This window comes from Homo sapiens, chromosome 5 (genome assembly GCF_000001405.40).
Source record: "Homo sapiens chromosome 5, GRCh38.p14 Primary Assembly".
Classification (NCBI taxonomy): Eukaryota; Metazoa; Chordata; class Mammalia; order Primates; family Hominidae; genus Homo; species Homo sapiens.
The window spans coordinates 69,370,033-69,387,231 of record NC_000005.10 but is presented as its reverse complement, the minus strand read 5'-3'; the positions used below and the strand labels follow the sequence as shown (position 1 = coordinate 69,387,231).

General features: G+C 37.8%; 1 protein-coding gene across 17 annotated transcripts in view, besides 1 other annotated feature; it reads right to left on the bottom strand.

Moving 5' to 3' along the window:
• The window catches only part of RAD17 (RAD17 checkpoint clamp loader component), a 45,509-nt gene that overhangs the window by 27,570 nt on the left and 740 nt on the right, over window positions 1-17,199 (bottom strand). For 2 of the 17 annotated variants that reach the window (NM_133343.2, NM_133342.3), the window contains exons 2-10: window positions 16,061-16,197; window positions 15,015-15,198; window positions 13,145-13,402; window positions 12,521-12,604; window positions 5,175-5,331; window positions 2,299-2,435; window positions 1,137-1,189; window positions 927-1,052; window positions 767-836 (exon numbers count right to left, since the gene is read on the bottom strand). In NM_133343.2, coding sequence (NP_579921.1) covers window positions 767-836; window positions 927-1,052; window positions 1,137-1,189; window positions 2,299-2,435; window positions 5,175-5,331; window positions 12,521-12,604; window positions 13,145-13,402; window positions 15,015-15,023 — 894 coding nt within the window. In that variant the 5' untranslated portion in view covers window positions 15,024-15,198; window positions 16,061-16,197. Of the gene's footprint in view, window positions 1-766; window positions 837-926; window positions 1,053-1,136; window positions 1,190-2,298; window positions 2,436-5,174; window positions 5,332-12,520; window positions 12,605-13,144; window positions 13,403-15,014; window positions 15,199-15,674; window positions 15,779-16,060; window positions 16,528-16,947; window positions 17,173-17,199 lie in introns of those variants that run through there. The other 15 variants (XM_017009681.2, NM_133344.3, XM_047417461.1 and 12 more) reach the window with 13 other exon arrangements.
• Window positions 16,611-17,160: an enhancer, noted in NCBI's record as "H3K27ac hESC enhancer chr5:68665899-68666448 (GRCh37/hg19 assembly coordinates)". NCBI's record gives its function as "activates a minimal SCP1, AML or CMV promoter by ChIP-STARR-seq in naive H9 embryonic stem cells {active_cell/tissue: H9 hESC(naive)}" and the evidence as "EXISTENCE:reporter gene assay evidence [ECO:0000049][PMID:30033119]".

Sequence of the window (17,199 nt, the reverse complement as noted above, 5' to 3'; positions counted from 1 at the left end):
TGAAAAGAAGCCGGGCACAGAGGCTCATGCCTGAAATCTCAGCACTTTCAGAGGCCGAGGAGGGAGGATCACTTGAGCCAGGAATTCGAGACCAGCCTGGGCAACACAGAGAGACCCTGTCTCTAAAAAAAATTAAAAAATTAGCCAGGCGTGGTGGTACCAGCCTGTAGTCCCAGCTGCTTGGGAGGCTGAGGTGGGAGGAACACTTGAGCCCAAGAGGTCGAGGCTGCAGTGAGCCATGATTATGCCACTGCAGTCCAGCCTGAGCAACAGAGTGAGACCCTGTCTCCAAAAAAAAAAAAAAAGTGACAACAGCTGTATATGAATGTAAATAGACTTTACAATACTGAAGTGTATCTTTGAAAATGGTTAAGATGATAAATTTTATGATACATGTTTTTCACCATAATTAAAAAAAATGTGAAAATAAAAAAGTGACAACAGGACAATAGGAAGAGTTGAATTGTTGATAACTACCATACCTACATGCCAGAAAACATTTTCTTGATGACAGACACAATTTAGAACAGTAAACCAAGCAAAGGAAAAATTTACCTCAATGTGAAAGTGAAAGTTTAATAGTAGAAAAATGTTAAAGATTTTTAAAATCAGTATTTCCTACATTTGCTAAAATGACATGCCTTATGAGTATAATAAAATGTTTTAATTCTAAAAAATTAAAATAACACTCCTTCAGTTTACATAATACTATTTAAGCTAGGCTTTCTATAGTTATCGAGTAAGGTTTAATTAATCAGAGACTTACCTTGTTAGCTTCTATAGTCACTATTCGATTAAGAAATTTCATCATAATTGTTGGTGCCACAGGGTTGAAACTAAGTTTTATAAAGAAAGATAGCAGTTAAATGATTAATTTAAAAATATAATATGTATGTGACCTTTATAAGCAGAAATTTCTTTCTTACCTAATATTTGAGATAGAACACTCTTCCTGAATTTCTTTGGGAAACAATAACCTTTGATTATTATCTCCACTGAGACTGTCCGAGATTATAAATATAAGAGGACATCGACCAATCCTCACATACTTCCTAAAATAACAAAATACAGCAATGTTGAAATTTAAGCCACTTCTCATTTAATTTGGAGTTTTAGAATACTTCACTGAAACCTACCTTAGAACTTCATGTAAAGTATGAGAATCCCGATAAAACTGGTTAGGTAAATCCTATTGAAAATAAAAAATAAATAATAGTATAGTTTTATTCCATTGCAAATTTATTTTTCAAATTTATATTTATTGAGGTAGGCAAAAATATATTTATTCAATGTATTTTAAACAGAACTTTCACAGGAAACATGAAATAGATGATATCCGAAACAGTAATATACATCAATGGGGATCCCAATTTTTAGATCAAATTTCTTTGGGTTGCTTTCCAGTTACAGTATTTTCACTAGGAAGTAATTTTCCAAACTTTTCTTTTGTTTTTCTATACTTAAACCATTAAAATTTATAACATTCCTTATCCTACAGCTATTCCATTCAAGTTTACTAGAAGAGACTTTAGGTTTCTACTATTACAAAGCCTTTGTGTTGTATTTTACCAATATCACTACTATAGAGACAAGTTAACATTATCATGTAAGATATATCTCACAATTGTTTAGTCAATAGCTACAGCAAAATTTTAAAAGTTGGCTGGGTGTGGTGGCTCACATGTGTAATCCCAGCACTCGGGAGGCCAAGGCGGGAGGATTACCTTGAGGTCAGGAGTTTGAGACCAGCCTGGCCAACGTGGCAAAACTCCATCTCTACTAAATATACAAAAATTAGGCCGGCATGGTGGCAGGTTCCTGTAATCCCCACTACTCGGGGGAGGCTGAGGCATGAGAATTGTTTCAACCCAGGAGGCGGAGGTGGCAGTGAGCCAAGACTGCACCACTGCACTCCAGCCTAGGGGTTAAAGAGAGACTCTGTCTCAAAAAAAAAAAAAAAAAAAAGATTTTAGGCCAGGCATGGTGGCTCACGCCTGTAATCCCAGCACTTTGGGAGGCCACGGTGGGCATATCATGAGGTCAGGAGATCGAGACCATCCTGGCTAACACAGTGAAACCCCGTCTCTACTAAAAAATACAAAAAATTAGCCGGGCGTGGTGGCGGGCGCCTGTAGTCCCAGCTACTCCGGAGGCTGAGGCAGGAGAATGGCGTGAACCTGGGAGGCAGAGCTTGCAATGAGCTGAGATCGCGCCACTGCACTCCAGCCTGGGTGACAGTGACACAGCAAGACTCCATTTCAAAAAAAAAAAAAAAAAGATTTTAAAAGTTGTCCTTACTTCAACCAGAATTATCTTCTTATCAGTTCTCAGATCATCTCCAAGCATTTGTAACTTGTTATACTTTGTCGCTCTTAGTAGAAACTCTTTGAAAACTGCTATCTGAGACTGATAGGGAAACATATGGAAGCTTGATTCTGAAAGGAAACACATAACCACTTTTATTTTCAACAAATGATATACATTAATATTATACATCTGTATGTACACACACACATACTTGATGCATCTCACAATACTGTAGACTATTTCCCAATTAGGAAAAATCATTTAAATTTAAAATAGGATATTCCTTTCAAAGGACAAGAGTCAACATGTAGCCAGGCACAGTGGCTCACGCCTGTAATCCCAGCACTTTGGGAGGCCGAGGCAGGTGGATCGCTTGACCTCAGGAATTCAAGAGCAACCTGGGCAACATGGTGAAACCCGGTCTCTACAAAAAAATACACAAATTAGCCAGGTGTGGAGGCTTGTGCCTGTAGTTCTGGCTACTTGCAGGGCTGAGGCAGAGGGTGGGGGTAATAGCTTGAGCCCAGGAGGTGGAGGTTGCAGTGAGCCAAGATTGTGTCACTGCACTCCAGCCTGGGTGACAGAGTGAGACCCTGTGTAATATGGAGTTAACTGACCTAAGAACACAGCTGTCGGTATAACATTCATATAATTGGTAAAAATATCTATGACTGTGGCCTACCCAATGAAGAATCTCTAAATGAGTTCAAGCCTATAAATGAATTACCTTCAGTGATAAGGGTTTGGTTTGTTTGTTTTGAGACGGAATCTTGCTCTGTCGCCCAGGCTGGAGTGCAGTGGCGCAATCTTGGCTCACTGCAACCTCCACCTCCCAGGTTCAAGCAATTCTCCTGCCTCAGCCTCCTGAGTAGCTGGGATTACAGGAACACACCACCACGCCTGGCTAATTATTGAATTTTTAGTAGAGACGGGGTTTCTCCATGTTGGTCAGGCTGGAGTGATAAAGGTTTAACAACAAAAACAGAATAACTGATTAGTGAACTTGAGAATGAGGGAAGCTCTCTGAAGGCATGTTTCATATTGAAGACTGTTTAAGTTAAAGCTTATCAGACTGTCAAAAGTAATGCTACTATTTAGAAAGCAGTAAAAGCCAGATGCAGGAACACACGTCTGTAGTCCCAGCTACCCCAGAGGTTGGGTCGTGAGAATCCCTTAAATGCTTAAGAAGTTCATTCTAGACAATATAGTGAGACTTTCTCTCTTAAAAAAATGATAATAATAATGGGCCGGGCGTGGTGGCTCACGCCTGTAATCCCAGCACTTTTGGAGGCCGAGGTGGTTGGATCACCTGAGGTCAGGGGTTCGAAAACAACCTGACCAACGTGGTGAAACCCCATCTCTACTAAAAAATACAAAAATAAGCCGGGCATGGTGGTGGACGCCTGTAATCCCAGCTACTTGGGAGGCTGAGTCAGGAGAATTGCTTGAACCCAGGAGGCGGAGCTTGCAGTGAGACAAACCACTGCACTCCAGCCTGGGTGACAGAGCAAGACTCCATCTCAAAAAAAAAATAATAATAATAGTAATAATAATAATAAAGAAAAGAAAACAGTAAAAGCCCCAGCAGGATGGGATACTAGTAGCACAAGGGAGTACATTAAAGAAGAGTCCAGAGAAGGGATTTTGAGGAACACTCCACATTAAAATTATCCTTCTACAGAACCCTTTTCCCTTCAAAATGGCCTAGGAGATTTGGCTATCCCTAGTTTCACCACCTGGAGTTGCAATATGAAAAACTATGAAAGATAAAAATGATAGTGCTAAGGTACATAAGCATATGCATGAACTTATAACGTATTACATCTTTAAATTGGTACTATTGCCACGCATGGTAGCTCACGCCTATAATCCCAGCACTTTGGGAGGCAGAGGCAGGTGGATCACTTGAGGCCAGGAGTTCGAGACCAGACTGGCTAACATGGCAAAACCCCATCTCTACTAAAAATACAAAAACTAGCTGGGTGTGGTGGCACATGCCTCTAATCCCAGCTACTCAGGAGGCTGAGGCATGAGAATAGCTTGAGTCTGGGAGGCAGAGGTTGTACTCCAGCCTGGGCGACAGAGTGAGACTCTGTCTCAAAAAAAATAAAAATAAATAAAATTGTTACTATTATCAATTTTTAAATCGTTATCTTAAGGCCTCCTTCCAAATTCCAAAGACATCTTTGTCTTTTGCTTTCATTTGATATTGTTCTAACAGGTACTTACTGATCTAAGCTATCTTGTTGGGGGGCAAGTTCTTTTTAACACATCTTAAGGCTTGATTTAACAAATAAAATATCTTAGTTAATACTGTCTAACCTCCTAGCCAGATCTTAGAAAAAAGCAGATAAATAATGCAAACAGAAGAATATGTTAACAAAACAGTTAAGACTTAATCTTCAAAAAATTCCATTGTCTTCCATTGGAGACATGCTTTCTTTCCTTCTCCTGAAATAACTTTTATTTATTTATTTTTTGAGACAATGTCTCATTCTGTTGCCCAGGCTGGAGCACGATGGTAACACTATAGCTCACTGCAACCTTGAACTCATGGGCTCAAGTGATCCTCACACCTCAGCCCTTGAGTAGTTAGAACTACAGGTACACAACACTATACCTAGCTGATTTTTTTATTTTTGTAGACAGGTTCTTTGTATGTTGCCCAGCCTGGTCTTTAACTCCTGGCCTGAAGCAATCCTCCTGCCTCAGCCTCCCATGTGACAGCCATCGCACCTGGCCTGTGAAATTCCATCCCTCTGAAAGCAAGAAGTATGGGAAAAAATGCACTCATAGAACTTTATCTGAAAGCTCCCTTAAGCACAGGTTTGCCCCACTACTTCTACTACCTTCACAGCAAATCTTACCAGTATTAAACATCCCCTTGAAATCATCTTTTTGGAAGTCTGGTAAAACTGGATTAATCCACTCTTGTACTTGAATACCATGCTCCTTTGATAGTATTTTTAAGGTCGTTGTCTTTCCACATCCAGGAGGACCTGTTATTAATAAAATAGATCCACCCTAAAATCAAATACAAATATGAATTAAAAACCAAAATCACTGGAATGCTAGAATATTATTTCTGACTTTTCATTCTAAATATATTTACTTCTATAAATATTTGCTGAATGTCTCATATAAGCACATTAAATTTCATAATAATGCTTGCTGGAATAAACCAGCTTTATTTTTTTCTTTTTTAAAAATTGCCTTTTTCCCCCCTTTTCCATACAAAAACATCTGCAAATATGGAAATAAGAGAATCTTAATTCTTCAACTCTCAATTCCGCTTCTGATAATTTCTCAATTTTTGCATTATGTCCCTCTCAAGGACTATTTAGTAGCCAAATACTAAACTTTGGCTAAATTAGGGAGGTGATGTCTGAAACAAAGATTTTTAGAGGTTACCTGAACTCATAAAATTTATTCTTTTTTTTTTTTTGAGACGAGTCTTGCTCTTTCACCCAGGCTGGAGTGCAGTGGCATAATCTCGGCTCACTGCAAGCTCCGCCTCCCGGGTTCACGCCATTCTCCTGCCTCAGCCACCCGAGTAGCTGGGACTACAGGCGCCCGCCACCACGCCCGGCTAATTTTTTTGTATTTTTAGTAGAGACAGGGTTTCACCGTGTTAGCCAGGATGGTCTCAATCTCCTGACCTCGTGATTTGCCCGCCATGGTCTCCCAAAGTGCTGGGATTACAGATGTGAGCCACCGCTCCCAGCAAAATTTATTCTTAATATAGACATCTCATTGGATGATATAAGTTACTGTTATACAAATACAATATTCTTATGGAAAGACCTCAGTTTGGTTATTAGATTCTTTAAGAAATGCATATTAAGACACATATTTGGGAAGAGCACGGCGGCTCACACCTGTAATCCCAGCATTTTGGGAGGCTGAGGCAGACGGATTCCTTGAGCCCAGGAGTCTGAGACCAGCCTAGTCAACATGGCAAAACCCTGTCTCTACAAAAAAAATACAAAAAATTAGCTGGGCATGGTGGTGTGCGCCTATAGTCCCAGCTGGTCAGGAGGCTGAGGTGGAAGAATCACTTGAGCCTGGGAGGTGGAGGCTGCAATGAGCCAAGATTGCCGCTGCACTCCATCCTGCACATTAGAGTAAGATCCTGTCTCAGAAAAAAAAAAAAGGAAAAAAAAGAAACATATTTACCAGAGATAGGACTCTAACGAGAGACTAGAGGTTGTGGATCCCAGTAACATTCCCTCATACCGTAAATTTGATTAAAAAAAAAAAAGTTGAAGCTACAGAAATATCAAAAGATTTCCTACATACAATGGTAGGCTATAATTCTTGTTTATTTTCCTTTAATAAGAACCTATGTACTTGGACAAAGAGAGCCTGCTCCACTTTTGAAAGGGGCAGTGCATGAGTTATAGCGCTGTTCACCATGAGTTCAAACTATATGGATCAACAATATACAGTCATGTGCCAGATAATCAACTTTCAGTCAATGATGAACCACATATAAACAGTAGTCTCATAAAATTATAATGGAGCTGAAAAATTCCTAGTAACAATAATGCAAAACATCACTCATGTTTGTGGTAATGCTGGTGTACACACACCTACTGTGCTGTATAAAAGTGTAACACGTATATCTCATTATGTGTAACACATAATGCTTGATAATTATAATAAACAACTATCTTACTGGTTTATGTATTTACAGTGCCCATCTTTATTATTAGAATCTACTTGTTTTTTAAAAAAAAAAGTTGGCCGGGCACAGTGGCTCACGCCTATAATCCCAGCACTTTGGGAGGCCGAAGCAGGCAGATCATCTGAGGTCAGGAGTTCAAGACCAGCCTGGCCAACATGGAGAAACCCCATCTCTACTAAAAATACAAGAACTACCCGGGCGTGGTGGTGCACTCCTGTAATCCCAGCTACTCAGGAGGCTGAGGCAAGAAAATCGCTTGAACCCGGGAGGCAGAGGTTGCAGTGAGCCAAAATTGCACCACTGCACTCCAGCCTGGGCAACAAGAGTGAAACTCTGTCAAAAAAAAAAAAAAGAAGTTAACTATAAAACAGCCTCAGGCAAGTCCTTCAGGAGGTACTGCAGAAGAAGGCACTGTTGTCATAAGAGATGACAGCTCCTTACGTGTTGTTGCCTCTGAAGACCTTCCAGTGGACAAGACATAGAGGTGGAAGACAGTGCTATTAATGATCCTAATCCTGTGTAGACCTAGGCTAATTGGTGTGTTTGTGTCTTCATTTCTAATTTTAAAAGAAGCTTAAAAATTTTTTTTTAAATACAAAAAAAATTTATAGAATAAAGATATAAAGACAAAATATTTTTGTACAGCCGTACCATTTATTTGTGTTTTAAGCTAAGTGTTATTATCAAAGAATCTAAAAGTTTATAAAGTAAAAAAGCTACATAAAGTCCTTCACATGGCCTTTACAAAAAGTTCCAGTAAGTGAAGGTTAATTTATTAAATAAAAAACTGTTTAAGTTTAGTGTAGCCTAAGTGTACAATGTTTATAAAAGTCTACAATAGTGCACAGTAATGTCCTTAGACTGTCACTAACCACTCACAGTCACTGACTTAACCATTTTCCAGTCCAAGCTCCATTCATGGTAAGTTCCCTATATAAATGTATACTAGCATTTTTTTTATCTTTTATAACCATGTTTTTACCAAAAAATATTTTTTTTTTGAGACAAAGTCTCTGTTCTGTTGCCCAGGCTGGGGCACAGTGGCACTATCTCAGCTCACTGCAACTTCCGCCACCCGCTTTCAAGTGATTCTTGTGCCTCCCATATAGCTGGGACTACAGGCACACACCACCATGCCTGGCTAATTTTTGCATTTTTAGTAGAGATGGGGTTTCACCATGTTGGCCAGGCTGGTCTCGAATTCCTGACATCAGGTAATCCACCCACCTCGACCTCCCAAAGTGCTGGGATTATAGGCCTGAGCCACCAAGCCCGGCCTTTTTACTGTACTTTTTAATGGTATGCTTTAGGTATGTTTATTTACACATATAGTTCCCACTGTGTTATAATTGCCTACAGTATTCAATACAGTAACAAGCTATACAGGTTTGTAGCATAGGAGCAAGAGGCTATACCATATAGCCTAGGTGGAGGTTTGTGTAAGTACACTCTATGATATTCTCACAACAATGAAGTCACCTAATGACACATTTCCCAGAATGTATCCCCATCATTAATTGAAGCATGACTGAACATTAAATAACTTTAAATAAAAACACATATACAACAAGGCTATATATTGATGGGTTGACAAAAATGTTGTTACCAGAGGTTTGCAAAAACCTAATTTAGTGTTTTTCTTAGAATAATGGTTCAGTATTTGCTAATTCAGCAACTTTACAGAACATAACTACCTTGAATAATGAGAACTACAATACCAGACAGATCACTTCTTTACAAAGAAAAAGAAGCCTATGCACAGGCATTATACATTTTTCTCATGTAATAATATACTTAAGTGCCTGTTTTCTGACAGAGTGGGTACAGCCACATAGCAAGTTTCCCTTCCAGTAAGAGAACTAGGAGGTAGTTTCTTATCAGGACATTATAATGTGAAGAATCTTGTTAATCCCATTTGTCTACACTGTAACAGAGTTTTACTGAATTTTGAAGGAAAGAAGCTGTCCTGAAAAATTAAACTCTGCAAATATTTGGTATATCGTATTTAAAATAAATTTTGAAAAGTAAATTTCGTTTGCCCATTGATAAATCTAGATCTTACCAATTTTTTTGAATAAAAACATTTTCTAATTACTGACATCCCTGAAACTTCTGTAAAATAAATGGTAAGTGATTTGGGCCAGGCATGGTGTGGCTCATGCCTATTGATTCTGACACTGTGGGATGCCAATGTGGGAGGTCTACTTGAGGCCAGGAATTCAAGACCAGCGTGGGCAACACCATAAGACCCCATCTCTACAAAAAAATTTTTTTTTAATTAGCCAGATGCGGTGGCACACACTTGCAGTCCCCAGCTACTCAGGAAGCTGAGGTGGGAGGACTGCTTGAGCCCAGGAGTTCAAGGCTGCAGTGAGCTATGACAGCACCTCTGCAATCCAGTGTAGGCAACCGTCTCTAGCAAGACCCTGTCTCTAAAAAATTAATAAACAAATAAACAGAGTATATGATTAAAGTCCAACTCCTTAGGGGGAAAACTTTTGAAACCATAAAGAAAATACTTTTCCCAATACATATATATATGTATACATATATATATATGCATATATATATGTATACATATATATATGCATATATATATGTATACATATATATGCATATATATGTATACATATATATATGCATATATATATGTATACATATATATGCATATATATATACATATATATGCATATATATACGTATATATACACATATATATACGTATATATACATATATATACGTATATATATGTGTGTGTGTGTATATATATATATATATATATATATATATATATATACACACACACACACACACACATATACCTAAGTTTATCCAACTGGTAGAATAATAATAGTAACACCAATGTAGGTTTATGATGTGACAATGTTTATACTGACAGAGTATTGCTAAGTGAGAAAACACAATGGACACTGAAAAATAAAAACTATTAGCTAAGCTGACCAAAAACAAATCAATGAGAAAAAGCCTGGATGTAAGAGGTGTGTCAGATAGACTGCCCAAAAATCTGTATTCGGAGACAAGAGACGAGATTTCTATGAAACATCAGAGGAATACCAATGCTGACACTGAAAATCCAACTTGAATTCATGATCTTAGCCCTAAACCAAAAGGTTTAGATCCACAGGCCAGAGAGAAAGGAGCTTGGTTCAAGAGAGGAGGATTGGCTGGGCGTGATGACTCACACCTGCAATCCCAGCACTTAGGGAAGCCGAGGCGGGTAAATCACCTGAGGTCAGGAGTTCAAGACCAGCCTGGCCAACACGGTGAAACCCTGTCTCTATTAAAAATACAAAAATTAGCTGCGTGTGGTGGCGCATGCCTGTAATTCCAGCTACTCGGGAGGCTGAGGTAGGAGAATCGCTTGAACCCAGGAGGCAGAGGTTGCAGTGAGCCAAGATCATGCCACTGCACTCTAGCCTGTGTGACAAAGCAAGACTCTCGAGAAAAAAAAAAGAGAGAAGGATCTGTTACCATCAAAGCAACTAAAACACCAACTCCTTCATCTCAAGGTTGAAAACTAAAGGAAAGACCTAATGTAAACAATGGACTCTGGGTGTTAGTGATGTGTCAATGTAGGTTTATCAGTTTTAACAAATGTACTACTCTGGTGAGGGAAGGTTAGTAACGGGAGAAGGCTATGCATGTGTTGGGGCAGGGGATATGAGGTACATCTCTGTACCTTCTACCCAATTTGGCTGTGAACCTAAAACTGCTCCAAAAATAAGTCTATTTTTTAAAAAAGGAAAAGATACAAAACTTATCCTGCCTTTCTAGTTGGAAATGTATTTCAAGGTAACTAAACAACCCTAGCTAGTGATGGCAAACTTTTCTTTGTAGAAAAATGCCAGTAATAACTGTAGAAATAACAGAACTATAAGAAAGTCACTACTGTACAACTCTAATAAAATAAGTGATTCAGGCAAGGATTGAAAAACTGAAGCTACAGCACTTAGGTGGACGACTGATGGAGAACTGGGCACTCACATGCTGCCACGGTATCTCCCCATGGATTATGTGTCAGTTGTGAGGGAAAGTTACTCTACAATGAAGATTTTTGACTTTCATCTCTTTGATCTAGTGACCAAACTTAAGACAGCAGGAGAACCACAAATACTTTCCAATTTGACGCCCTATACAACATACAACATGACCTTTATTCTTGCAAAAATGTTCAACTTGAGTCTAATCAAGCCCTTGATTCAAAATTTCAGGTTATAGGAAATGCAGGATAGACGAATAAGTTAATCATTATTAGGAGGAAACAACCTAACAAATCCAGTGTGAGACTTCTACAAGTCAACCGGCCTGGTCTCCTTCATAAGTCAGTGCCTTGGAGAAAAGAAAGGGTTAGTAAACTATTATTAGATTCAGGGAAAAAAAAAAAGGCCTAAGATATATAACAGCCAAATGCAACGTGTGATCCTATCCTGTTTGAAACAAACCAGCTACAAAAGACATTTTGGGGACAAATGCAGAAACGTGAATATGAATTCATCATTAGACAGCATTACGGCATCCTGGTTAACTTTGTTAGAGAGAATAATGGTATGCATAATTAATTAGGAAAATCATTTTTTTAAAAAAACAGACATACTGAAGTATCTAAAAGTCTAACTGAAATGTCACAATGTTTATAATTTACTTTAAAATACTTAAGGGGGAAACAATGAGTATATTCTATATATATTTTTTTATTATTCTATTTTCTTTTATGCTTGAAAAATCTCAAAATAAAAAACATTTAAAAAGGGAGACTGATGGAAGGAGAGAATATTCTACCTTGGGGGTTCAAGGTAATTGTGCAGTAAGGAAGTGAAACAAAAAATATCAGTCTAAAATAAATAATGACTGTTTTTGGCTATATTTAGTAGAGAAACTAACATGTAATTTGCCTGCTTTCCTCAGCCTGAGATAATCTGATGTGCTAAATACACTAGCACCCTAATTGGTTTACTGATTCTTTATGCTAACAATAAGACATAAAGAAAAAGAGTTACAAATAAAGGGGAAAACTCAAAGTCTCTGAGTCTTTTAGTCAAGTTGGAAGTAGTAAAGTCATGAAGCTTTCTTTTTCGCTTTTTGTTTTGTTTTGCTTTTTACGGTTTTTGGTATTGCTCTGTTGCCCAGGCTAGAGTGTACTAGTGTGATCACAGCTCACTGCAGCTTCCACCTTCTGGGCTCAGGCGATCCTCCCACCTCAGCTTCCCAAGTAGCTGAGACCAGAGGCATGCACCACAATGCCCAGCTAATTAGCTGTAGAGACAGTCTCCCTATGTTGCCCAGGCTGCTCTCGAACTCCTGGGCTCAAGTGATCCTCCTGCCTTGGCCTCCCAAAGTGCTGGGATTACAGGCATGAGTCACCATGCCCCACTAGGGAGCTTTCTACTGCAGGAGATCTAGACTTATTTTGAACAAAATCATCATAAAACTTTAACTTCTAACAACACACTGTAAGTCAGAAAAATATTTGATGTTAAATATTTAAAAACACATTTCTTAGTTACCTGTTTTGGTTGCCTTTCTAAAACTTGAGCTTTTAACCAGGTTTCGACTTCTTCAATTTTCTTTTTATGCACAGCAAGTTCATGCTACAACAAAAATTTCAAATTTAAAACAAAACTTCTTAACTGAAGATTTTTTGGTACATCAGCACATATGAACCTAAGCATTATTAACGAAAAGAAGTAGCAAATCAGTAACAATCTATATAATAAAATGATCCTTTTGATTATACTTGAATTTTTATACTATTATGGAAAAATTATATTCTTAAGTTGATACCTCTGTATGATAATTTTGGCAAGTTTGCAGTTATAACATTTTTTAAAATTCAGAAATACATTTTGAGAAGACAGTAGAGAGGAGTATTACATTTAGTACAAAAATTTTTAAAAAGATCAATTCTATGTTGGGATTAAATTAAATCTAAGACAACTAATCATACAACTTTAGAATAACTATTGAGAAAAATCTAAGCCTTGGAAAATAAAAAAATCCAGAATTTTTTCTAACACTTAGAAAGATTCTTATGAGTAAAAAATCTGAAAATGTAAATCCCTCTGCTTCCCATCTACCCTTATGCACCCTGAAATTAAATTATGTAGATATGTCTGCATGCTTTTCAGTACCTGAGTTTCTGGTTTATATTTATCCACCCATGGTTCATTTTCAGACAGATATTCTTTTGAATTTTCTAAACCATAAATCTGTTCTAAGGAAGATAGATTTCCTCTTTTTCTCGCTGGAAATCTGCTGCTTTCTAATGTAGAAGGCCCATTTTTTCTTCTATGACTTGAGTTATTCACACCTAATGATGTGGCAGTAATAGTAGAGACGCCACTACACTCTAGAAAATCATCAAATGATGGGTCAACCCAGTCTGTTACCTGAAAAAAAAAGAAATCATGTAAATATAATCACATTTTCTCCCATCTATTCCCCCAAATAACTGAACTACTCTGGAAACAACATATTCATATATTTATAACCTTTAAAACTTAAAAAAAAAAAAAAAAAAAAAAAAAAAAAATTTTTTTGAGACCGGGTCTCACTCTGTCACCCAGGCTGGACTGCAGTGGTATAATCTCAGCTCAAGCAATCCTCCAGCCTCAGCCTCTTGAGTAACTGGGACTACAGGCATGCACCACCATGCCCAACTAATTTTTTTGTATTTTTTGTAGAGATGGGTTTTTGCCATGTTGCCCAGGCTGGTCTCAAACAATTCTTGGGCTCAAGTGATCCTCTCACATCAGCCTCCCAAAGAGCTGGGATTAAAGGTATAAGCCACCATACCCGGCCTAAAAATCTTACAAATTAACTCTTTTTAAATAAAACTCTGTCTGTAATAGTTGTTTTTCTACTTTACAGTAAGTGCAAGTGCATACTTGTCTACTTGACCTTAAAGGAGTAAAGAACACAAACTTATTTTTATTAATTGTAACCTTCCCAGCATAAACACTAGAATGATTTTTTTAAACTCTCTGTAGGATTGAAACATAAATATTAAAATTACCTATTAAAAAAAGCAAAACAAAATAAACAAATGATAATATTTTAACAGAAACAGCAATAAGAGTAATATATCTGCCTTGGCCAGGTTAATACATTCACAAACTAAGAACCATTTCATACATCCAAATAATCCGTATCAGCTTGAAGACTTAGTGAAGATATAGGCCAAAGATCATAACGTAATCTGTAATTATGACTGGATTATATTTTTCTTCAGTGTATGAAGCAACTAATATTTTTATAATTGAGGCAGGCTTTCCAGAGGGGGAACTGTCACTCAGAAATGCCTGGGAATGGTTGGGTGTGGTAGCTCACACCTATAATTCCAGCACATTCAGAGGCAGAGGCAGTAGGATTGCTGAGCCCAGGAGTTTGAGAACAGCTAGCATAACATAGGGAGACCCCAACTCTACAAAAAATAAAAAATTAGCCAGGCATGGTGGCGCACGCCTGTATTCCCAGCTACTTGGGGGGCTAAGGTGGGAGAATCACTTGAGCGCGGGAGGTCAAGGTTGCAGTGAACCATGATCACCCCACTGCACTCCAGCCCGGGCAACAGAGTGAGACCCTGTCTCAAAAAAAAAATTTTGCTAATAATTAGAAATTATTAGCTAATAATTACAAATAATTAGAAATTAGAAATTTTTACTAGATTTTTTAACACTCTAATAGCATAAATCTAGAAAAATATAGCTTCAGATCTGGTTGTAGAATCTACTGCCTGGCTAACAAAAAGAAACCAAGTTATATATTTCTTTCAAGAATACTCAGCCACAGTTGAGCTATTTATTAGACAATGTTCCTCTCTTGAAGAAAATGAACCAGAAGTTGGAGCTGAAAGTAGGCTTAGGGGAGACAATTTGGGGCTTATAAATACTTTACGAATGCTAAGTCACACTTCACTCTTCTTTTAAGACAGAGTTAGGAATATTATCGGCAGTGGATTAAAAAAGGAAGACCACTGGAAAAAATTTTAGTCATAGCTACCTGATTCATTTCGTCCTCATCAAAAGATTGTGACTGGTACTATAATCTTGGCCCCTTTCCTCTATATTTTTGAGAGTATGAAAATATCTTTCATTATAGTAAAACTTTCGACAGCAATTCTGATTTGCAAATTATTTATACATTTTATAGTTTCATTTCTTACATAAATGTGGACTCCCATATACTGAAAAAAAGAGAAAGATAAACAGCAAAGTTAAGTAACTTACTTAACATCAAAGAAAATTTAGAGCTACCACTTAGGGAAATAGCTACCCTGCATGCATGAAACTGTCTGACCCCCATCCCACCTTAACCCCTATCTTGCTGAGAACTCACACACTGAATTACATTACTTCTAAGAAGCAGTGCTTTTGGTTAAGCTATAACACCAACTACCACTCATATTTCTCTCTTCTATGTTCTTTCATTCAAATGTTTTCAGCCTTTGTGACTGGGACTGTAAAACACTTTTTCAAAATTAAGGTTGTGCTTTTAGAGAACACTTGTTTCACAACTTATTACCAGACTTGCTTAAATCATTAATTACAATAGATACTCGGCTCTATTACTTTGATAGCAGTAATAAGTTATTAAGAATATATATAAAAATTTATAATTATTTTAAGGCAATTATTACATGGCCATTCCAGTGTATCATACCTTTGTGGAAGATACCTTTGGTCTAAGAAAAGTTTTTGACATTATAAACTGTAATAGTTCCCATCCGTAGTTTAGGACTTGCAGTACATTAAACTATAATTCACCTGGGGGGGGGGGGGGGAAGAAGCCCTCAAATGAAGAAAAACTGTAAATGCCCAATTATAGTAATAAATGTATACTGATATAATCAACAATACAATAAAGGCTCAAGAACTAGTGAAAAAGAACAGTAAATTTAAGTGATACAAGAAATCAAAATTCTAAAATAATTTTAATGACTATAACTGTATCAAATAATCTACTTGTGGTGTTAAGAGTTTTTCACATGAACTCAATGATGTATTAGAAAAAAAAAAACAAAAAAACCACACATACTATGTACTTACCTTTTGTCATTAAAATCAGGCAATTCTATTTGAGCAATTTTTATACTGAAAATTAAAGTTTTCCTTATTTCAAATTACAGTTGCAGGTCTTCATTTCCAGTATTTCCCAAAAAAGTAAAATACCATGAATTCACTTGCTGTGGACGAAGAATTTAAGTCTTAAACTGTAAAATTTTTGTCTTCATTTGAACATGTTATTACAAAATTTCTTGGTAACACTGTTTTTCAACCGTGTTTTCAAATTCTTAAATGTTTATGCAAACTAGTGAATTCAACGATTTTAAGTTAGCCAGAAGAAAAGTTTAAGGTCTACAAACTTATACATTGGAAAGTATACTGGACTACTTTACAGTTTGGAGGCACACATAGCCTATAAACACCTCGACACACTAGAAAACACATTGTTCAGCCCTCCGCCCCAAATCGTTCACGATTAGAGACTGTGACGTTTCAAAAGGTATACAGGTGGAAAAAAAACACCTATTTGAGTAAATATAGTTTGTAGCTCGAAATAAAAGATGCAGACCAGGGGCCGGACGCGGTGGCTCATGCCTGTAATCCCAGCACCGTGGGAGGACGAGGCGGGCGGATCATCTGAGGTCAGGAGTTTGAGACCAGCCTGGCCAAAACATGGTGAAACCCCGTCTCTATTAAAAATGCAAAAATTAGCCGGGCGTGGTGGTGGGCGCCTGTAATCCCAGCTACTCTGGAGGCTAAGGCAGGAGAATCACTTGAACCCAGGAGGCGGAGGTTGCACTCCAGCCTGGGCGACAAGAGTGAGACTCCGTCTCAAAACAAAACAAAAACAAACAAACAAACAAAAAAAGGTGCAGACTGTTGTCACGGTCAGGTCTCTATTCACTCTTGAAAACAAGATTGACAATTACCTCCTTTAAAAAGCAGATAACTGTCCCTGAAGATGCGAGGTTACTGAAATGAGATGTCAGAGGTAGACCTTCAAGACTATTCCTAGCCGACCCACCACCACCCCACACAGTGAACAGGGAATACTAAGCTCAAATATTCGTCCAACGTAATCCTGTAATCAGTGGGGTGCCGGGTTGAGCTCGCAAATCCCCGCTGCAGGACAGGGCTCTGCACCCTCAATCTTCTCATCCCCAGATGGGATGGGCGGGTCG